The sequence below is a fragment of the Homo sapiens genome, chromosome 17 (assembly GCF_000001405.40).
Source record: "Homo sapiens chromosome 17, GRCh38.p14 Primary Assembly".
Taxonomy (NCBI): Eukaryota; Metazoa; Chordata; class Mammalia; order Primates; family Hominidae; genus Homo; species Homo sapiens.
The window spans coordinates 59102057-59124221 of NC_000017.11; the positions used below are offsets into that span (position 1 = coordinate 59102057).

General features: G+C 41.9%; 2 protein-coding genes and 1 long non-coding RNA gene across 51 annotated transcripts in view, besides 9 other annotated features; 1 reads left to right on the plus strand and 2 right to left on the minus strand.

Moving 5' to 3' along the window:
* The window catches only part of TRIM37 (tripartite motif containing 37), a 139680-nt gene extending 134856 nt beyond the window's left edge, over positions 1-4824 (minus strand). For 27 of the 46 annotated variants that reach the window (NR_148346.2, XM_047436111.1, XM_017024663.3 and 24 more), the window contains exons 1-2: positions 4385-4824; positions 2237-2338 (exon numbers count right to left, since the gene is read on the minus strand). Coding sequence is in view for 41 of the 46 variants with exons in the window: in XM_047436111.1 (XP_047292067.1) it covers positions 2237-2338; positions 4385-4405 (123 nt within the window). In the remaining 5 variants the exon portion in view is untranslated. The remainder of the gene's footprint in view (positions 1-2236; positions 2339-4384) is intronic. The other 19 variants (NR_148347.2, XM_047436110.1, XM_047436107.1 and 16 more) reach the window with 1 other exon arrangement.
* Positions 3912-4571: an enhancer, noted in NCBI's record as "NANOG-H3K27ac-H3K4me1 hESC enhancer chr17:57183329-57183988 (GRCh37/hg19 assembly coordinates)". NCBI's record gives its function as "activates a minimal SCP1, AML or CMV promoter by ChIP-STARR-seq in primed H9 embryonic stem cells {active_cell/tissue: H9 hESC(primed)}" and the evidence as "EXISTENCE:reporter gene assay evidence [ECO:0000049][PMID:30033119]".
* Positions 3912-4617: a biological region, named in NCBI's record as "NANOG-H3K27ac-H3K4me1 hESC enhancer GRCh37_chr17:57183329-57183988".
* Positions 4228-4277: an enhancer, noted in NCBI's record as "active region_12495". NCBI's record gives its function as "activates an Ori minimal core promoter by ATAC-STARR-seq in GM12878 lymphoblastoid cells {active_cell/tissue: GM12878}" and the evidence as "EXISTENCE:reporter gene assay evidence [ECO:0000049][PMID:35858748]".
* Positions 4488-4617: an enhancer, noted in NCBI's record as "active region_12496". NCBI's record gives its function as "activates an Ori minimal core promoter by ATAC-STARR-seq in GM12878 lymphoblastoid cells {active_cell/tissue: GM12878}" and the evidence as "EXISTENCE:reporter gene assay evidence [ECO:0000049][PMID:35858748]".
* Positions 4572-5231: an enhancer, noted in NCBI's record as "NANOG-H3K27ac-H3K4me1 hESC enhancer chr17:57183989-57184648 (GRCh37/hg19 assembly coordinates)". NCBI's record gives its function as "activates a minimal SCP1, AML or CMV promoter by ChIP-STARR-seq in primed H9 embryonic stem cells {active_cell/tissue: H9 hESC(primed)}" and the evidence as "EXISTENCE:reporter gene assay evidence [ECO:0000049][PMID:30033119]".
* Positions 4708-4807: an enhancer, noted in NCBI's record as "active region_12497". NCBI's record gives its function as "activates an Ori minimal core promoter by ATAC-STARR-seq in GM12878 lymphoblastoid cells {active_cell/tissue: GM12878}" and the evidence as "EXISTENCE:reporter gene assay evidence [ECO:0000049][PMID:35858748]".
* Positions 4938-5047: a silencer, noted in NCBI's record as "silent region_8776". NCBI's record gives its function as "represses an Ori minimal core promoter by ATAC-STARR-seq in GM12878 lymphoblastoid cells {active_cell/tissue: GM12878}" and the evidence as "EXISTENCE:reporter gene assay evidence [ECO:0000049][PMID:35858748]".
* LOC124904039 (uncharacterized) lies at positions 5040-16397 on the plus strand. Of its 2 annotated transcripts, none has more exons than XR_007065864.1 (2): positions 5040-5535; positions 11898-16397. It is a non-coding gene; the product is annotated as an uncharacterized LOC124904039 (long non-coding RNA). The 2 variants fall into 2 exon arrangements; XR_007065863.1 differs by having other exon boundaries at positions 15868-16397.
* Positions 5178-5227: an enhancer, noted in NCBI's record as "active region_12498". NCBI's record gives its function as "activates an Ori minimal core promoter by ATAC-STARR-seq in GM12878 lymphoblastoid cells {active_cell/tissue: GM12878}" and the evidence as "EXISTENCE:reporter gene assay evidence [ECO:0000049][PMID:35858748]".
* Positions 5268-5347: an enhancer, noted in NCBI's record as "active region_12499". NCBI's record gives its function as "activates an Ori minimal core promoter by ATAC-STARR-seq in GM12878 lymphoblastoid cells {active_cell/tissue: GM12878}" and the evidence as "EXISTENCE:reporter gene assay evidence [ECO:0000049][PMID:35858748]".
* The window catches only part of SKA2 (spindle and kinetochore associated complex subunit 2), a 45330-nt gene continuing 30965 nt past the window's right edge, over positions 7801-22165 (minus strand). The window contains exons 3-4 of one of the 3 annotated variants that reach the window (NM_182620.4): positions 17263-17439; positions 7801-10289 (exon numbers count right to left, since the gene is read on the minus strand). In NM_182620.4, coding sequence (NP_872426.1) covers positions 10221-10289; positions 17263-17439 — 246 coding nt within the window. In that variant the 3' untranslated portion in view covers positions 7801-10220. Of the gene's footprint in view, positions 10290-17242; positions 17440-22165 lie in introns of all 3 variants that reach the window. The other 2 variants (NM_001330399.2, NM_001100595.2) reach the window with 2 other exon arrangements.

A 22165-nucleotide genomic window follows, 5' to 3' on the forward strand; every position in this document is an offset into this window, starting at 1 on the left:
TAATCTGATCTTGAACAAAGTTCAAGATGCTAGAAGGACAAGACATCCAAAAGTCAGTGCTGAAGGAATAGATTTAGGAGCCATACACACAGAGATGATAGCTAAAGCTGCTAAAGTAAATCAAATTTCCCAAAGTAGGTGAATACTCCCAGAAACCTCAGAGTAGAGAACGACAGCAACAAGATCTTAGGAAATTAAGAAATAAATGCATTTAAGGGGCAGGAGGAAGAAGATGTAACAATGAAAAAATACAGAATCAATGAGGCATAAGGTAACAACCAGAGACCATAAGCACATGGGACCTTCATCAAAAGAAATGCGCCCAGATCCAGATTCTACCACTTAATTAACTATAACGGAGTCCAATTACTTAATTTATCTAGCATCAGTTTCACTGTTTATTAAAACATGGGTAAGTGTTAATGTGTATTAGTTGCTATTTTAACAATAAAATAACACCTTACAAACAAGTAGATATAGTATTTCATAATTTCTGAATTACTCCTTAGGTTATCTCATTTAATGCCATAACCACCCTGTAAAGCAAATCATATCTGAATTCTACAGCTGAAGAAAGAAGGCCAAGAAAGAGTGAATCTCTTAGTTTTAGAAGTATGAGAACTAACATCATATTTAACTGGGTCTTCTGCGCATGGTACAGTGACAAAGAACAGGCTATAGAGTTCTTGAACTTAATGGGTTCAAATCCAGTACCATCAATTGTGAGCTGTGTGACTAGAAAAAAATTATTTAAGTGTTACGGATAATACTCTTGACAAAGGCATATGTATCTTCCTTAGGCAAGAATAAGGAAACAGAAATTTTTTTTTTTTTTGAGACGAAGTCTCGCTCTGTCGCCAGGCTGGAGTGCAGTGGCACCATCTCTGCTCACTGCAACCTCTGCCTCCCGGGTTCAAGTGATTCTCCTGTCTCAGCCTCTCGAGTAGCTGGGACTACAGGAGCATGCCACCATGCCTGGCTAATTTTTGTATTTTTAGCAGAGACAGGGTTTCACCATATTGGTCAGGATGGTCTCGAACTCCTGACCTCAGGTGATCCACACACCTCAGCCTCCCAAAATGCCGGGATTACAGGCGTGAGCTACCTACTGCGCCCAGCTGAAACAGAAAGTTTGAGGTGAAGAGCATGTGACCTCTTTGATTTTCTCAGGAAAATAAATAATTGAAGGGGAATGTGAACAAGGCAGTTTTCAACTATGCTCTGTAGATGTGCTATTGGACTCTCGCATACACAACCAAAATCTTGGACTTCCTCATTTTGTTATTTTGTTTTTTGTTTTTTTGAGACAGAGTCTCGCTCTGTCACCCAGGCTGGAGTGCACTGGCATGATCTCGGCTCACTGCAACCTCCGCCTCCTGGGTTCAAGCGATTCTCCTGCCTCAGCCTCCTGAGTAGCTGGGATTACAGGCACACACCACCATGCCCAGCTAATTTTTGTATTTTTAGTAGAGATGGGGTTTCACCATGTTGGTCAGGCTGTTCTCGAACTCCTGACACCATGATCCACCCGCCTCGGCCTCCCAAAGTGCTGGGATTACAGGCCTGGGCCACCGCGCTCAGGCCAACATTCAAGTTTTTTTTTTTTTTTTGAGACGGAGTCTCACTCTGTCGCCAGGCTGGAGTGCAGTGGCGCTCTCTCGGCTCACTGCAACCTCTGCCCTCCCGGGTTCAAACAATTCTCCTGCCTCAGCCTCCCAAGTAGCTGGGACACAGGTACATGCCACCATGCCCAGCTAATTTTTGTATTTTTAGTAGAGACAGGGTTTCACCATGTTGGCCAGGATGGTCTCGATCTCTTGACCTCGTGATCCACCTACCTCGGCCTCCCAAAGCACCAACACTCAAGTTTTAAAGCCACTAGATTATATTCATCTCTAGAGTGTCTTGTAATTGTAAGATTAAACACTTTTTCTCTATCTTACTCACCAAACACATATAAACCAGTCCTCTTCTGAGCCCCACAGCACTTCTTTAGTGCCTCCTTATGATACCGCACATTCTTCAAAATAAACATTCTAAACTCCATTCCCTCAATTAGATTTAAGCTCCTTCAAGGCAGGCAATTTGTCATTTATCTTAGTATTCCTCAACCCCAAGCACAGTGCAAGCAAGCACTTTAGGGCAAAAAATGTAAAATAAAAAGATAAGGGAAATGGTTAATCCTTACAATATATACTATATATACTAACTGCATGTAAAAAGAAATACAACTTACCCTAATACAGCTGAAACAACACAGTTTGGAGCAATGAGGACACAGGCGTGCATCCCGCAATTTCTCCATACAAATGAAACATCGGAAAACCTCAGCAATGCTCTGAAAACAGTAAAAGATGTAAGGTCCACCAGTTTAGGCTACTGAATCAAGAGTAAAAGGCAAGCTCAAAACAACTTGACATTTACATTTATTTTGGGCTGATCTCTCAATTTTAACTATTCCATATCAGGATTTGGTTGGTCAAGATACAGAGTACCTCAAAACATCTGGAAAATGTACTCCCGTTTGGTTTCACGATGATTCTATTCTAAGGAAAATATAGGAAATGCAAACACAGACATGCAGAAAAATTTTCACTAAAGCAGTAATTATAATGGCAAGAATCTAGGTACAGCCCAAATGTCCAAATATTAAGTAAATTATGGCAGTTACACATAGATTACAGTCACCAGAAATACTTCTTCATCTAATGATATAGAAAAATGCATATAATGTATAACAGCAGGGAAAAAAGGCCCAGGCATGATGGTTCATTACTGTAATCCTAGCACTTTGGGAGGCTGAGGCAGGTGGATCACTCGAGGTCGGGAGTTCGAGACCAACCTGGCCAAAATGGTTAAACCCCGTCTCTACTAAAAATACAAAAATTAGCCAGGCGTGGTGGTGTGCACCTGTAATCCCAGCTACACAGGAGGCTAAGGCAGAAGAATTGCTTGAACCTAGGAGGCGGAGGTTGCAGTGAGCCAAGAGGGTGCCACTGCACTCTAGCCTGGGTGACAGAGTGAGATTCTGTCTCAAAAAAAAAAAAAAAGAAAAAAGGAAAAAAGGCAGACTATATGACTGAATACACAACATGAACTTTTAACTTTTTCTGCAATTTCCCCAAAAGGTATAAACTGATTTTATAATTTAGAGGAAAAAGAAGTTTAAAAAGACACATCCTAAAGGCAGTGTACTGTGACCCAGAAAAAAATGAATTCAGAATCCAGAAATCTGAATTGCTGCCCTGATGTTACAACAGACTAGCTACTTATTTGAACCTGAGATTCTGCCCCAATTGAAAATGTTGACGGTAGTTCAAAGCGATCTTGGGAACAACAACAACAAAAATATGTAAATACAAGAAACAGTATTATGTTTGCAAGCCTCAATTTAATCAATTTAGGAAGTAACTGAAAAGTTTTTAACAAGAAAAAGGATACAATTAAACGTATACTTATTGTATTGTATACTTTGTTTTTATATTACTGACATTTACTTTCACTCCATTCTAGAATTAAACCCTCCTAAAACCAAGATAAGTTTACAAAACCTTTATAATACTTTATATGAGGAATTAAGGAGAAAATTACTCATTAATCTCATCATGACTCTGTAGGGCCAGAAAGAACCTGGGAGATGCAGATTCTGTAACCTGCAACGGGGTGGACAATAAGACTACTGAATGACTAGTTTCAAGTGGAATATCCATAACATAGTTACCCCTTACTAAAAAGCAAGGATTTCCTATTTCAGTATCTGAAAGGTTCAAAATTTGATAATGATTACACAATTATGTTCAATAAACAATCTTTTAAAATATATTCCTAGCCTTTACTTACATATCCTACATATCCCAACTATTTTAACTCACAGCTTACAAGAATCAGTTATAAAAAGAAGAGTTTGTTCTGGAAACTACACATGAGATAATATATGCTGATTCAATCTAGGAAGGAAGGGCAGAAGCCTGCAAAATGTGCCACTGAGAGGGAAAGATGACTATCCATTTGGAAGGAGATTTAGATCAGCTCAAGAACTCGCAAGGACTGGTGGCGAGTGGCAGGGTACATCCATCTGATGAATCTGCAGTTTTGGTCGGAAAAGGATGCTGTTTGCAAACACCCGGTGGGGATGAGTACCTGTGCCAAGACATCCTTGAAAACTCCAGGATACGCACCACCTGACTGCGGAACAGTGAGCACAAGACACCCGGAGCGCTGCAGAATGGGCACGGCATCCTTGGTACCGGGCCAGCCCTCTCCACAGCGGCAGGGGCGGGGTAGGGGTGCCCTACTGGAGGGAGGACATGGGCACGACTCCCCGAATAAAAACCGCTCATCGGGTGGGGGCGGGGACTAACCACCACCCTCACAACCCCCTCACCTCCACGCTCTGTTCATCCATTGCCTCCGGCTCTCGGCGGGGCCGCTGGCGACCCGCAGGCTCCGCAGTCTGACCTCTTAGGCGCCGGCCCGAGGTCGCCAGATCAAATCGCCGATAAAAGCCCGGCGCCCACGTCAGGGGGCTCTGACAACCGCCCCACCTGCGCGCCCCATCTCTTCAGGTCCAGCGCCGCCTACCCCCATTTCGCCATTTTTACCGGCGCGCCCGCCCCGAGGCGCAGAAGTAGGGCGAACGGTGGCCGCAGCTCCTTTCTCCCGGCTCAGCCGCCGGCCAGCAGCCGCGCCGGAACCTCGGCCCACGTGACGCGGGCGCGCGCCTATGGAACTGACGGTGGAGTTCAGCGAAGAAGGTGCCGCAGAGAATTCGCAAACACCAACCGTAACCAGAGCAGCTGGGGGCGCGGCGGCGAGAGAAGCTGCGAAGCGCATGCGCGCAGGACGCTGTGGGAGGGGAAAGGAGGGGAGGAGCGTGGAGCGATCGCCTAGTTCCCGCGTTGCGGGGCGCATACGAGACTTGGCGACTCGCTGCCTCAGGGTTGCGTGCCTCCGGCCCTAGCCTGCGCAGGCGGCCTGAGCTTGGGGCTCTGCTACGCCACCCACGCCCACCTTGGCGGAGGGCGGGGCCCCACGGCTCTCAAACTTGCGCGCCAAAGACGGAGCCACCTGGCGTACTGGTGGAAAGCGCAGACTTCAGAGCCACACCCGTAGTTAAGTATTCGGACTCTGAGATTCCAGGGTGGGGCCCAGGCCATCCGCGTTTTCACCCAGCATCGTGTGATTCGGCAGCAGGTGGTCTGTGGCCCGCACTTTGAGAAACCCTGGTGCAGAAGGTTCATGGTTAGTGGTTCTCTCTGGAAGGAACAGTCTAAGGTTTGTAGGACTTGCGTTCCACCTACCAAAGCTAATCGAGTTAGAAGGCTCCAAACTGAGGTGTCATTTCTCATTACGGTGGTGAGAGGACGGGACCACACACTGTGAAGTCTTCGTTCCCACATCCCACACTTCATTCTTGCCGCCTAAGTTGTCGCCGTGGGACTATTGAAAGGGTATCAGCGATATTCATCTTTCCTATAAATGGGATCTGCTTTCTACAGTTTCCTGCCAGATGTGTAAAGATTGCAAGAATTGAAGGTTTGTGAGACAAAGAGGGCATATCAAATTCGTAATTTGAATTTAATTTTTCCTGTATTTATTGCAAACAACTAATTATACTTAACCGACCTAGAGTGCACATGTAGAGAATCACTAATAATCTAGAAATAAGTTCTTGAATATCAGGCATTTAGGCTTATAGGTGGTGGGTAGCAACAATTTTTTTTAACTACTTGGGTCATGAACAAGATATAATTTAGAAAGATTAATCTGAGACTGAAAAATTCTTTCAGTAAGAATTATTTGTGGTCTTTGACCTACATGGAGCTATTTTTACGAAAATGGCCTCAGTTGTACATTTTTAAATGGTTGATGGTTAATATTATGAGAATTTTACTTAAAAGAATTATTTATAGAATGCAGTGCTAGGCCTGGCGTGGTGGCTCACACCTGTAATCCCAGCACTTTGGGAGGCCGAGGCTGGCGAATCACCTGAGGTCGGGAGTTCGAGACCAGCCTGACCAACATGGAGAAACCCCGTCTCTACTAAAAATACAAAATTAGCCGGGCGTGGTGGCGCATGCCTGTAATCCCAGCTACTGGGGAGGCTGAGGCAGAAGAATCGCTCGAACCCAGGAGGCGGAGGTTGCGGTGAGCCGAGATCGCGCCATTGCACTCCAACCTGGGCAACAAGAGTGAAACTCCGTCTCAAAAAAAAAAAAAAAAAAAATGCAATGCTGTACTTGGGATTCAGAGTAATGAGAAGTGGCCCTTGCTCTCAAGGAGCAGTACAGAAGACAAATAAGACAAATTGCAATACTTACATGATAAATAGTTAAGATTCTTGTATGTTTGCCGAAGAACCTAAGAATGTCGAAGGACTTATTGCACCAATTCATAATAGCGAACAATTAGAAACCTGTACAGCTGATTAGAGGCCGTTGGTTGCAAGCAAAAAGGATAACTTGAGCAAAATAAATAATTTAGTTGGCAAGATGCTAAACTCACATCGTTTGCCAAGCCCTGGGGTTTGAGAGCCAACGGTCTGCTCCATCAGAATCCCTTAAAGGCTGACCTTGCTGCCCTCCCCACAAGAAAAATCTCCTAACTTCATACATATCCTTAAATAACTTGCTGTTATACAACTTACTTGTTATATTATTTGTATAACTTGCTGTTATAGAGCTTAAATGTCTATCACTAAGGAACTGATAAAAATGACTATATATCTAGCTGGGCATGGTGGTGCACACCTGTGGTCCCAGCTACTCTGGAGGCTGAGATGGAAGGATCACTTGAGCCCAGGAATTTGAGGCTGCAGTGATCCAAGATCACACCACTGCACTCCAGCCTGGGCAACACAGCCAGATCCTGTCTAAAATTAAAAAAAAAAAAAAAGTATGGTATAGCCATATAATGGATTACAGCTGTTAAAAAGAAGGGTGGATGTGTGACATAACAAAAATATATTAGAATTGAAGACCGGGCACAGTGGCTCATGTATCCCAGGACTTTGGGAAGCTGAGGCTGGCAGATCTCTTGAGCCCAGGAGTTGGAGACCAGCCTGGGCAACATAATGAAACCAAGTCCTACAAAATATACAAAAATTAGCAGGGGTTGGTGGCATGCATCTGTGGTCCCAGCTACTTGGGAGGCTGAGGCAAGAGGATTGCTTGAGCCCTGGAGGCTGCAGTGAGCCATGATAGCAACACTGCATTCTACCCTGGGTGACAGAGCGAGACCCTCTCTCAAATAAAATAATGAAATGAAAAAAAATCTAAGTACAGCAGCAGTACAAGGCATAGTATCAACCTACTTTTGTTGAAAAAAATTTTTTTTAGTTTGTATACATGTAGAAATGCCTGAAGCAATTATTTGCAGATTACCTCTAGATAATTTATATGCCTGTTTTGTTGTTGTTTTTTTTTTGTTTTTTTGGGTTTTTGTTTTTTTTTTTTTTGAGACAGAGTCTCACTCTGTCGCCAGGCCGGAGTGCAGTGGCGCAATCTCAGCTCACTGCAACCTCCGCCTCCTGGGTTCAAGCGATTCCCCTGCCTCAGCCTCCCGAGTAGCTGGGACTACAGGCACGTGCCACCACACCCAGCTAATTTTTGTAATTTTAGTAGAGACAGGGTTTCACCATGTTGGCCAGGATGGTCTCCATCTTTTGACCTTGTGATCTGCCCGACTCGACCTCCCAAAGTGCTGGGATTACAGGCGTGAGCCACCATGCCCGGCCATGCCTGTGATTTTTAAATTCTTAAACATGTATTATTTATAACTTAAGACATAAAGACACTATAGTCACATAGGAGAAAACAATTATAATCCAAATGAGAAACAAAAGATCTAAATTAAGGAGGTGTGAAGATAATGTAGAGGTTGTATACTATGACCATTTTAGAAAGAGGATTGTAGGTTTTATTGACTAAGAAGATAAAGGGATGCAAATTAGTTATACAGGTTTTAATTCCAGACAACAGAATAGTGGCTATTAACAATAAAATCAGTAAGTATTCTGGACATGTTTAACTTGAATATTCAGGTAGGGGATTTTATTGGAAATACGGATCTAGAGCTAGTGGAAGAAGTTATATTTAGGAGTCATCCACAAAGAGGCTTGAGAAACAAATGAAAATGTATTGAGAAGTGCATAGAGAACAATGTTAAGGGGGCTGTGGGGAAAAAACAACATTTGGAAGATAACTGAAGGAAATCATAGAGGAAAAATAGTACAATCTAATTTTTCTCCCTAACTGAAAGCAAAACCACTTTTAATACTAAGAATTTATTATGATCTCTCCATGATACTACCGTTTTTTCAATCCCAACAATCATCATCACATCCCAGAGCCATCTCATGACAAGAGCTTTCTAAATACTAATTGCCTGAACACTGAAGAAAATTAATATCTGATACTAAGGTGTAACTTATTTCTCTGTAATTAAAAAAAAGGGGGCCAGGCACGGTAGCTCATGCCTGTAATCCCAGCACTTTGGGAGGCCGAGGTGGGTGGATCACCATCAGGAGTTAAAGACCAGCCTGGTCAAGATGGTGAAGCCCCATCTCTACTAAAAATACAAAAAAATAGCCGGGCGTGGTGGCGGGCGCCTGTAATCCCAGCTACTCGGGAGGGTGGGGCAGAGAACTGCTTGAACCTGGGAGGTGGAGGTTGCAGTGAGCTGAGAGCGTACCACTGCATTCCAGCCTGGGCAACAGAGTGAGACTCCGTCTCAAAAAAAAAAAAAAAAAAAAAAAGGCTTTCTGTTCTTGAAATATTCAAACTAGACAGGACAATTTTAACTGAAGCTGTTCTCACAACCCTGTTTTTCAGCTATTATAAGTTTGTTAATGGACAAACATGTTCATAACTGAAATTTTAAAATTACATAAAAGTATAATTCTATAACCTGCAGAACTAACATTTGATGCATTTTTCCTAGTCCTTTCAATGCTTAGTTTTTATTACATGTATGTAATATCACTTATTGAAGGCTTACTAAATACTGAACCCTGTATTAAAACACTTTCCTGTCTTGTCCTTCCAAACATCCTGACACTCAAAAGTTAAGTGATCTGCACAGGGTCATAGCTAGAATTTAAAAGCTGCTACTTACATCTCAGATATGACTCCAAAGCCCAATCTTCACTACAAAACTGCAATACCTGCTTTCCCTCTCCCCCACTTAGCATAGTTTCAGCATTTCCCAGAACATTAACAGTAATAATTTATTGGCAACTTGACCTCTTATTGTATACATACAGCATGATTTATTTTCCTATTCACCTAGTACTAGCCAAATGTGTATGTATATTGCTATTATAAACAACCCTGTGATTAACATCTTTCTATCAAGATCTGCCTCTACTTTGAACAGTTTCCTTATTGCCAATAGTTATTTTAAAATAAATAGTTATTTTAAAGGGAAATTGACACATACATATAACACACTCACGCAAAACTGGCAAGTAGCAGATAAGTGCTCTTCTAATTTCAGTTTCCTAGCTTTCATGTAGAATGAACAATTATAGTAATAAAGGCTGAAGGAAAACAAAGATATTATTGAGATACAACAGGGACAGTCTAAAACAGCATCAGAAAGCAAGTTCATGCTGTTCAACATTAGCAGGCAAGGGAAATAGGGAAAGAAATACGCAAACGTGGCTATCACAGAAAAGCCAGCTTATTACTTTAGGTTCTGTGGGAGACTACAGGTCACATAAAAGCAGTCTCAACAATAATGTGACCACATGTGCAATCAACATTTACAAAATGAAATTATATATCATGTATAACACAAATGTTTTGCCTATACTTTAATTTACAAAGCCACATACCGAATGACTGAAATGTACATAAACATTCTTTTATGATAGACCAGAACATCTATATTATCATGACTTAGAAAAAGAAAACAGATGCAAAATAGTGTTGAGAATTTCTGGCCTGAAATTACAAGACTAAGTGTGTGTGTGCATGCGTGTGTACATATATTTAAATCGTTTTATTCTCATTTGATCCTTTTGGCTGAACTTTATTCATATATTATCTGCCCTTCTTCTTATAATCTCTCTCATGAAAGATATCATTATCCAGTCATTGAAGCCAAACCCCCTTCACCAGCCCCCAATCTCTAGACATCAAGGGTTAACAAGACATCTTCCTAAATTTCTCCGGAATTAAGCTCTTCTCTGTTAGAATTTCCTTTCCAAGTCCATTTCTTCATAAATCTGGCATGTGAAATTTGAATTGCTCTGCCGCAGTTTTCTCTTCTTTAGTCAGTGGTGACAGCTAGAAAATAAATGATAAAATCTTTATTTCAAAAACTTTCAAAGACTTAAATCAGTTTAGTTAACTTCTGCATTGTCACACCAATAAATGTTTCCCTAAGCTTATACTATGTATGTAATCACAGATTTAGAAAGGCAAGGGAAAAAACAGATACTTGGCTATTTATATACAAGGTCCTATGATGTTTGAGCTTCTAAAGAACTTGCAATTAAGTTGAAGAAACAAGACCAAGAAATCAAACAATTTAAGGATTATAGCAGAACCAAAGAAGTCATGTTTGGATGCCATATTCTAAAAGTACAGTCAACCCTCAGTATCTGTGGGAGATTGATTCCAGGATAACAAAATCCACAGATGCTCAAGTCCCTTATATAAAACTGCGTAGTATTTGCATAGAAACTATACATATCCTCCTGTATACTTTAAATCATCTCTAGATTACTTATATACCTAATACAATGTAAATGCTATGTACATAATTGTTACACTGTATTGTGGAAGGAATAAATGATAAGGAAAAAAGTCTACAGATGTTCAGTACAGATACAACCATCTAATTTTTTTCCAAAATTTTTGTTTTCTATTTTTGAAACGGGGTCACTCTGTCGCCCAGGCTGGAGTGCAGTGGCACAATCATGGCTCCCTGCAGCCTCAACCTCCCATCTCAAGCAATCCTCCCACCTCAGCCTCCCGAGTAGCTAATTTTTAACTAATTAGTACACTAATTTTTAGCTGGGCATGGTGGCGCACACCTGTGGTCCCAGCTGCTCGGGAGGCTGTGGTGGGAGGATCACTTGAGCCTGGGAGGTCGAGACTGCAGTCAGCCCTGATGGTGCTACTGCACTCTAGCCTGGGCAGCAGAGCAAGACCTCATCTTAAGAAAAGAAAAAAGAGGCCGGACGCGGTGGCTCATGCCTTCTAATCCCAGCGCTTCGGGAGGCTGAGGCGGGTGGATCACTTGAGGTCAGGAGTTTGAGACCAGCCTGACCAACATGGTGAAACCCCATCTCTACTAAAAAACACAAAAATTAGCCAGGCATGGTGGTATGCACCTGTAATCCCAGCTACTCAGGAGGCTGAGTTGGGAGAATCCCTCGAACCTGGGAGGCGGAGGCTGCAGTGACCCAAGATCGCACCACTGAACTCCATCCAGCCTGGGTGACAGAGCAAGACTAAATCACACAAAAAAAGAAAGAGGCCGGGCACAGTGGCTCATGCCTGTAATCCCAGCACTTTAGGAGGCTGAGGTGGGTGGATCACCTGAGGTCAGGAGTTTGAGACCAGCCTGACCAACATGGTGGAACCTCATCTCTACTAAAAATACAAAAAAATTAGCTGGGCATGGTGGCAGGCACCTGTAATCCTAGCTACTCGGGAGGTTGAGGCAGGAGAATTGCTTGAACCCGGGAGGTGGAGGTTACAGTGAGCCAAGATTACGCCATTGCACTCCAGCCTGGGCGACAAGAGTGAAACTCTGTCTCAAAAAAAAAAAAAAGATAAAGGAAAATGTATTATCATTCCACAATAACTTCAGAAAAAGGAAAGACTTCTGGGCTGACTTATTTAGCAACTGAACAATGTAAGGACTCCATTTTTTCCATCTCACAGCTCTAATATCCTGGATAGTGCCTTTACCCTCAAGCTGACAGCAAATGGCTTTAACGGTGCTAGGTATCACAACTCTACACAATGTCCAGAAGAAGAAAAGAAGCTTTCTCTTCTCAGGGTTCTCTCAGCAGTGAGTAAAGTCTTCCTAGTAACCTACTTCCAGACTATCCTTACTCACATGTCATTTGGGTTACAAACCCATTCCTCAACCACTGTTAGTTAAAAAATAAAGTCCATTCCCTATGCCAATCAGATGCACCCCTGGAGCTGAGGATGGGGCCAGATTCATCTCAGGCACATCGCTATGAGGGACAACACACATCTCAAGAAAGTCAGTATAGTCATGTGTCACTTAATGACAGGAATACGTTCTGAGAAATGCATCGTTAGGCAGTTTCATCGTGTGAACATCACAGACTGTACTTACACAAACAGGGATTGTATATATACACTCAGGCTATATGGTATAGCCTACTGCTCCTGGGCTACAAATCTGTACAGCATGTTACTGTACTGAATACCGTAGGCAGTGGTAACACATGGTATTTTTATATCTAAACATCTGAACATAAGAGTACAGTAAAAATACGCTATTATAATCTTCTGGGACCACTGTCATATATATTTGGTCCATTGTTGACCAAAACGTCATTATGCACTGCATGTCTATATTCTGGTAGGCAGGAAAGGATAACAGATACTGAGAAAGAAAAATGGCCAATAGCATCCACCAAAAGCAGGTAGCAGCAAAAGAAGGGAGGCTGAAGGGAAGTTGTAAGGGACTTTCACAGAGCACCAACAAACAGGCTGGCTGAAACAAAGGGTTATGTGGGGAATTAATAGGAGGTACAACCTGAAGAATCAAGTAGTTACAATTCTGCCAACTATATAGGTCATCTCTAGAGAGACTGCCAAATCTGGAACACCCCAGACCTACAGAATCAGAATCTCTAGGGCAGCACTGTCCAATAAAACTTTCCATGATGCTGGAAATATTCTTTATCAGCACTGTCCAATCAGTAGGTGAAGAAGTTAATGTTCATCTTTCATTTAACTACCTTAAATGTAAATTTCTTTTCTTCTTTTTTTCGTTCTTTCTTCCTTTTTTTTTTTTTTTTTAATTTTGAAATGGAGTTACACTCTTGTTGCCCAGGCTGGAGCGCAATCTCAGCTCACTGCAACCTCCGCCTCCCAGGTTCAGGAGATTCTCCTGCCTCAGCCTCCCGAGTAGCTGGGATTACAGGTGCCCGCCACCATGCCTGGCTAATTTTTTGTATTTCTTTAGTAGAGACGGGGGTTTCACCGTGTTGGCCAGGCTGGTCTGGAACTACTGACCTCAGGTGATCCACCTGTCTCGGCCTCCCAAAGTGCTGGGATTACAGGCGTGAGCCACCATGCCCAGTCTAAATTTAAATTTATATAGCCACATTACGTTATGTAAATAGGACAGCCCAAATCTAGAACAGCCACAGAACCTATATGATTCTGATATGCAGCTGGTTCCACTGATCAACATTTGCCCAACATGTTCACAAGGATAAACTGAAAAACAATCATACGTCTTACTACAACCCAGTTACAGGATTTCCTTCTTCTACCTCAAAAAAAGGAAATGTTATTCTGACAAGACTTTGCTTTTTCGTTTTGTTTTTGTTTTAGAGACAGAGTCTCGTTCCATCGCCCAGGCTGGAGCGCAGTGGTGCGGTCATAGCTCACTGCAACCTCTAACTCCTGGGCTCGAGCAATCGTCCCACCTCAGCCTCCCAAGTAGCTGCGACTACAGGTGCACACTGCCATACCCAGCTATGAGACTAATGAATCCACATTGCCCCTTGTGATCACTACAAAAGCTTTCAGACCATCTGTTTAATAAATTCTCAAAGAATTTTTCCAGGAATTAAAGTCAAGTTAACCAGTCTAAAGTTTGTAGAAATTTTTCTTCTTTATCACACATATTTTGGAAGATCATAGAATACCACATATTCTACTTTTAATGCCTTTTTAATTTTCTATTTATTATTATATATGTTTTGGGCGTTTGTTTTGCTATTTTTTGTTTGGGTGTAAGTTTAGTCCCTTTTTTCTTTTGATGAGATCACCTTTATAATTGAACATATTTAAACCTCAGTTTAAATATGAGGGCACGGAGGCTCACACCTATAATCCCAGCACTTTGAGAGGCCAAGACAGGTGGATCACTTGCAGTCAGGAGTTCGAGACCAGCCTGGCCAACTTGGTGAAACCCCATCTCTACTAAAAATACAAAAAAATTAGCTGGGCGTGGTGGCGCATGCCTGTAGTCCCAGCTACTTGGGAGGCTGAGGCAGGAGAATTGCTTGAATCCAGGAGGCGGAAGTTGCTGTGAGCCAAGATTGTGCCACTGCACCCCAGCCTCGGCGACAGAGGGAGACTCCGTCTCAAAAAACAAACAAACAAAAAAATTAAATAAATAAATAAACTTCAGTGTCTTTTGTCTTTTTTTTTCTTCTTTTGTCAATGTCTTAACATCCCCTAAGAAAGATTATGAAATTAGTATGTATTCCCTTTCTCCTACCTCCTTTTCTGTTCTGTATTTATTATTTAGTATTATCAATTCAGGTGTTCTTTTTAACTATTACAAATTCAAATACATTTTCTACCCTTCCAAATGAAAAACCACTCTTTGATAAAGATTATAGCAAGATAATACCTGAACAGATATACATTCTGTTATCTATAAACATAGCACTATTGGTTCCAATGAGACTTTATCCTTTTCTTGTCCTTCTTGTTCCCCAGATAATTTTAAAGCCCCTTTAAAATAACCTTTTGGTTATTTTAGAAAATTTCAGAGGCCTTAGCTCTATCTGCCTTTGGCTTTTTTTTTTTTTTTTTTTTTTTTTTGAGACAGAGTCTCGCTCTGTTGCCAGGCTGAAGTGCAGTGGCAAGATTTTGGCTCACTGCAACCTCCGCCTCCCAGGTTCAAGCGATTCCCGTCTCAGCCTCCCGAGTAGCTGGTACTACAGGCGTGCAACACCATGCCCAGCTAATGTTTTGTTATTTTAGTAGAGATGGGGTTTCACCATGTCAGCCAGGATGGTCTCGATCTCCTGGCCTCGTAATCCTCCCTCCTCGGCCTCCCAAAGTGCTGGGATTACAGGTGTGAGCCACCGCACCCGGCCTCTTTGGCTTTCCTAACTAATTTCACAGGTTTGTCCCTGTGACCTTTTAATATTTGAAATTTATTTACAAATTGTACCTTGCAAGTCCTTTAAACTCTGGGCTCATATAACTGTTTTTGGTTATCAGCTCTACAGATGTCATTCCCATTCACATTTGGATCATAAAAATTTATCAATATAATGGTTTGTTTATTAAGCTACCCTTTTAAACATCTCTCAGAAGATTAAGTTTCATATCTGTATTCCCTCTGAACTTTCTACTACTATCTCATTTTTATTTTAGTTTATTTTAAAATTTTTGGGGGACAGTCTCACCCTGTCACCCAGGCTGGAATTCAGTGGTGCAATCATAGCTCACTGCAGCCTCAAACTTCTGGGGTCAAAGGATCCTTCTGCCCCAAATAGTTGGAACTACCAGCATGCACTCCCATGCCCAGTAAATTTAAAATATTTTTTTCTTCTTCTTTTTCTTTTTTTTCTTTTTTTTTTTGGTAGAGATAGGTTCTCACTATGTTGTCCAGGCTAATCTCAAACTCCTGGCCTCAACTGATCCTCCTGCCTTGGCCTCCCAAAGTGCCAAGATTATAGGCATGAGCCACTGTGCCCAGCATACTACCTCATTTTTAAAGCAGTAGGTACAAGACTCACTATATCCAACATTTCCCAATTTGGTCATCATTGATTCTAAAATATGACCACCTCTTTCAAGTTTTATAACTTTTAAATCATTCTTCTTGTTTGCCATAACTTGATCCAAAGTAAAAGCTCCCTTAGTTTTCAGCCTTTGACATAAGTATTGTTCATTTCAGGTATTTCTTCAACTGAAGACCTTTACAGATACTCAGATGACTGAAATCCTCTTATCACTGGCTGGACATGGTGGCTCACGCCTGTAATCCCAGCACTTTGGGAGGCTGAGGCAGATTCATCATCTGAGGTCAGGAGTTCGAGACCACCCTGGCCAACATGGTGAAACCCTGTGTCTACTAAAACCACAAAAAATTAGCTGGGCATTGTGGCAGGCGCTTGTAATCCCAGCTATTCCGGAGGCTGAGGCAGGAGAATCACTTGAACCCAGGAGGTGGAGGTTGCAGTGAGCCGAGATGGTGCCATTGCACTCCAGCCTGGGCAGCAAGAGTGAAACTCCATCTCAAAAAAGAAAAAAAATCCTCTATTACTATATAACTACTTTTATGTACCAATTTGTAGTCTCAAAAATATACCATCAATTTATTATATCCAGTGGGGGAAATTTGTAAATATTCAAAATACCATTTTTCCCTTTGCCCTCTCACCCAAGTTTATTCTGTGCTTCAATAAATTTATGGTTCTATACAGATATGTTGTCATGTACATCTGGAACTATACTTAATCAGCTATTTGTTTTCCAAGAACAAGGTTATGTGCTCTATTGTCAGGCACATATAATGAAGAATGTGTGATTTGAGATGATTTATAAAAGCTTATCATATACATACTTTTTTTTGCATTTAATTTACTAGCATGTGACACAACCCTGTTTTAAATTCTGTCTCCCCATTACCTCTATTCCCTGTTCAATTGCCCTTCCTTCCTCCATCATTCATCTCCTTGTGATATAACAGATACATCTAAGGTATCATTTTATCGTTCTAAGCAGATATTATTCTATTTTTTCCCCTCCATTTGCAATATAAAGTATTCTTGATCAAACTGACCTGGGTAATTAACCTTTCTGATTTACTCTAGCTACAAGCCCATAATTCAAAGTATCTTAAGCCAAAATTTAGTGTAGAGTTGGCAAATAAATATCACATATGCAGCCCTTCCTCCTTCCCATGCTCGTGGCAGACTACGCTATTTTCTGCCATGTCCAGACACAGCTCCTTGATACAGCACTCTAAGCCACCCTTTTCTAGACATCTCAGTCTCACTAGTACTTACAGGAACCAGCTAAGCTGCTAGATTTTATAAGTATTACCAAGTTTTCTGCCATGGTTACATAATTCAAGACAGCACAATTCTTTATTAACCATGTCAAGTCCAAATGCTTATTTTTAAATAAACAGAAATAAGAGCTATTATACTTCAGGGTATCAGGAAAATCTTTCAATAGTTCAAACTGACTGCTGAGTTTCAAAATTTAAGTTACATCAGGTTTATTTTTCAAAGCAACACTCAGAGCTAAAGCTAAACAAATCTAACCTGTCAACTGAAAGCATTACCTCCAGGTCTGTTTGCTTCTGTAGTTTTTGTATCATATTCATAGTCTTTTTCACAGTAGCACAAATGCGGCTCTTACTCTCTTTCTGCTCAACAGCAACTGGTTTAAAGCGGGCATACAAAGTTTGATATCGAGACTTTATCACTGACAATTCCTTTAAGAGTGTAACTGGATTTTTCTATGTCAGGAAAAAAGTGAACATGTATTAAATTATGAAAGATTAAACTTTTTAAGAATTAAAATACTGTATACATACAACACATTCTACCATCCATTTAATTGAACACTGTTGAGTATTTAATTATGCAGCCACATGACATCAGATGGGAGGTGGGGAAGAGAGAAAAGTATAAGACCTAGATCCTATTCTCAAGGAATTTATAGCCTAGGTACAGAAATAACCCACCAAAAAAATTAGCAATATTAAACAGCAAATAAGGGTCACCTTAGATATATAACATTTGATGGATAGTTCACAATAATAAATTATACAATATTTCTAAAATACAATTCTAAATGCTATTCAGAAGAAGATAAAAGGCACTATTAGTATTTGTTCTTAAAGAATAAGAACTTGAAACTACTTATAAAAATCTTTTTTTTTTTTTTGAGATGGAGTCTCACTCTGTTGCCCAGGCTGGAGTGCAGTGGCGCAATCTCAGCTCACTGCAAGCTTCACCTCCCAGGTTCATGCCATTCTCCTGCCTCAGCCTCCGGAGTAGCTGGGACTACAGGCGCCCGCCACCACGCCCAGCTAATTTTTTGTATTTTTAGTAGAGAAGGGGTTTCACCGTGTTAGCAAGGATGGTCTCAATCTCCTGACCTTGTGATCCGCCCGCCTCAACCTCCCAAAGTGCTGGGATTACAGGTGTGAGCCACTGCGCCCGGCCAAAATTCGTAAACATACTATCATGGGGATAAAGTATGTATAAATATCAATTTACTTATATACACACAAAATATAAAATTCATGCCAACCCAACTGTATTTATAAACTATGCTGGTTTTCCAGATTTATTTTGTAATATACATTACCACTATTCCATAAAAGACATTTCAATTGGACCCCTTCTGCCACTTGGTAATTCTTTTCTTTAATTTTTTTTTTAAATAGATACAGGAATCTCACTGTGTTGCCCAGGCTGGTCTTAAACTCCTGGCCTCAAGTGATCCTCCTGCATCAGCCTCCCAAAGTGCTAGAATTACAGGTGTGAGCCACTGTATCCTGCCAGATTTCTTTTTTTATGATTAGGTAAGATTCATATATTTTCAGGCCCCACCAAGTGACAGCACAATTAATAAAAAGATCTATACCATAACTGTAAATTTTCGCAGGATAGAAAAAATATTCTGAAACTTCCAGGTGATAGGTAAGGGACTGGGGTAGGCTGAGGAGGAAAGCACAGACAAAGGATCAGGAATGAGAATGGCATCCATTTTTCAACAGCAACAATAGAAGCTAGAAAACCACGAAGTAATGATGTTAAAATTAAGAGAAAATCTCCAATCTAGAATCCTATATTCAACCAAACCACTCATCAAACAAAGGGTTAGGCCGGGCGCAGTGGCTCACGCCTGTAATCCCAGCACTTTGGGAGGCCGAGGCGGGCAGATCATGAGGTCAGGAAATCGAGACCATCCTGGCTAACACGGTGAAACCCCGTCTCTACGAAAAATACAAAAAATTAGCTGGGCATTGTGGCGGGCACCTGTAGTCCCAGCTACTCAAGAGGCTGAGGCAGGAGAATCGCTTGAACCCGGGAGGCAGAGGTTGCTGTGAGCCGAGATCGTGCCACTGCACTCCAGCCTGGGCGACTGAGGGAGACTCCGTCTCAAAAAAAAAAAAAAAAGAAAAAGGGTTAAAGGGTACAATAAAGACTTTTTCAAACATTCAGCATCTCAAAAAGTTAACTTTCTGTGTAATCTTCCTCAGGAAGCGTCTAAATGATATACTTCCAGATCAAAGAAATAAACCACCAAAGAGTGAAACATATGATACAACACAGGAATAAAACAAAGGGAAGTACCAAAATAATGGTAAAGAAATCCCAGAAATGCCGGGCGCAGTGGCTCATGACTGTAATCTCAACACTTTGGGAAGCCGAGACGGGTGGATCACCTGAGGTCAGGAGTTCGAGACCAGCCTGGCCAACATAGCGAAACCCCGTCTCTACTAAAAATACAAAAATTAGCCGGGCATTGTGGTGGGCGCCTGTAGTCCTTGCCTCAGTAGGCTGAGGCAGGAGAATCACTTGAGCCTGGGAGGCAGAGGTGGCAGTGAGCCAAGATGGCACCATTGCATTCCAGCCTGGGTGACAAGAGCAAAACTCCCTCTCAAAAAAAAAAAAAGGTCGGGCGCGGTGGCTCACGCCTGTAATCCCAGCACTTTGGGAGGCCGAGGCGGGCGGATTGCCTGAACTCAGGAGTTCGAGACCAGCCTGGCCAACATGGTGAAACACCGTCTCTACGAAAATACAAAAAAAAAAAAAAAAAAAAAAAAAAAAATTAGCCAGGCGTGTCGGCATGCGCCTGTAGTCCCAGCTACTCGGGAGGCTGAGGTGGGAGAATTGCTTGAACCTGGGAGGCAGAGGTTGTAGTGATCCAAGATCACGCCACTGCACTCCAGCCTAACCACAGAGTGCGACTCCATCTGAAAAAAAAAAAAAATCCCAGAAAGACAGCAATTCAAGAAGCCTATAGAGCAGGAGGTCAGATGGGAGCAGGATAGAGACACCAGAAAGGATAGGATGTTTCCATGGGAGAAAATAAAACTTAAAGAACATGTAGTGTGTCTGACAATATTGAGAAGAGTTTTACAGTTGTTAGAAATGTCTGAGGCTGAATTAGTGAAAAGTATATAGAAAAACTAAGCAGGCTGGGCCATGGTGGCTCATGCTTGTAATTCTAGCACTTTGGGATGCCAAGGCGGGAGGATCGCTTGAGGTCAGGAGTTCAGTACCAGCCTGGGCAACATAGCGTGAAACCTCATCTCTACAAAAAATAATTCAAAGGCTGGGTGCAGTGACTCACGCCTGCAAGTCCCAGCACTTTGGGAGACCAAGAGGGGCAGATCACTTGAGGTCAGGAGTTCCAGAACAGCATGGCCAACATGGCGAAACCTCATCTCTACTAATAATACAAAAATTAGCCGGGCGTGGTAGCACACGCCTGTAGTCCCAGCTACTCAGGAGGCTGAGGTGGGAGGATCACTTGAGCCTGGGAGGCAGAGGTTGCAGTGAACCAAGATGGTACCACTGCACTCCAGCCTGGGCGACAGAGCAAGACTCCATCTCAAAAAATAATAACTATTATTATTTTTTAAATTAGCCAGGTGTGCTGGCACATGCCTATGGTGCTAGCTACTCGGGCGGCTAAGCAGGGAGGATCACTTGGGCCTGGGAGGCAGATACTGCCGTAAGCCATGGTCACAGAGTAGCTGGGACTACAGGTGTGTGCCACCACACCCAGCTAATTTTTGTAGTTTTAGTAGAGATGAGGTTTCGCCATGTTGGCCAGGCTGGTCTAGAACTCCTGACCTCAGGTGATCTGCCTACCTCGGCCTCCCAAAGCGCTGGGATTACAGGCGTGAACCACTGCGCCCAACCTTTAAATTATTTTTTGTAGAGATGGGGCTTCCCTATGTTGGCCAGGCTGGTCTCAAACTCCTGCACTCCAGCCTGGGCGGCAGAGCAAAACCTTGTCTCAAAAAAAAAAAAAAAAAAGAAAAGAAAAGAAAAGAAAAACTAAGCAAATGGAAGGAAAAAAAAGAAAACAATTATTAGCTCTAGAAAAATAAGTTGTGAAGAAAGGAAAGCAGACACAGTATTCAATAGGGCTTATATAAAAGAGTTACAGAAATTGTGAAGACAGGAATAAATATGGGTAGTAAAGTATTTAAACTTTATCTTCCATAGTACAAAATTCTTTTTTTTTTTTTTTTTTTTTTAAGAGTTAGAATTGGCTGGGTGTGATGGCTAATGCCTGTAATCCCAGCACTTTGGGAAGCTGAAGCGGGTGGATCATGAGGTCAGGAGTGTGAGACCAGCCTGGCCAACACGGTGAAGCCCTGAATCTACTAAAAATACAAAAATTAGCTGGGCAGGGTGGCATGTGCCTGTAATCCCAGCTACTCAGGAGGCTGAGGCAGGAGAATCGCTTGAACCTGGGAGGCGGAGGTTGCAGTGAGCCAAGATCATGTCACTGCACTCCAGCCTGGGCAACAGAGCAAGACTCTGTCTCAGGAAAAAAAAAAAAAAAAGTTAGAATCTTACTCTGTCACCTAGGCTGGAGTGCAGTGGTGCAATCATAGCTCACTTGAACTACTGGGCTCAAGTGATCCTCCCACCTCAGCATCCCAAGTAGCTGGGACTACAAGTGTGAGCTACTACATCAGGCCTATAGTAGGAAATTATTATTAATGATAACAGCTAATGTATAGCACTTACTCTGGACTAAACAGTTATATATGTTAACTAATTTTATTTTCTCTCAATCTCTGAGGTACATAGTAATATTCCCATTTTACAGATGAGGAAATTAAAGTACAGAAAGGTTAACTGACTTGGCTAAAATCACAGTGCTAATAAGAGGCAGAGCCAGGATGTGAAGTATAACAGTTCGTATCCAGGAAATTAGTAGATGTTTCAGATCAGGAAAAATAAAGATGCAGTACAAGGAAAACTATTTAGAAATATAAAGGAAATACCATAAGACACTGAGATGAGTGGTATCCTTCTTGAGGGTGGGAGTGTGAAGCATTATTCTTTGTAATTATAAGCTTTATATTTCTGCAACTCTTCAAATATATTCAAGAATTTGACAAAAATAAAAGTTTAGGCCGGGGTGGTGACTCACATCTATAATCCCAACACTTTGGGAGGCTGAGACAGGAGGATCACTTGAGC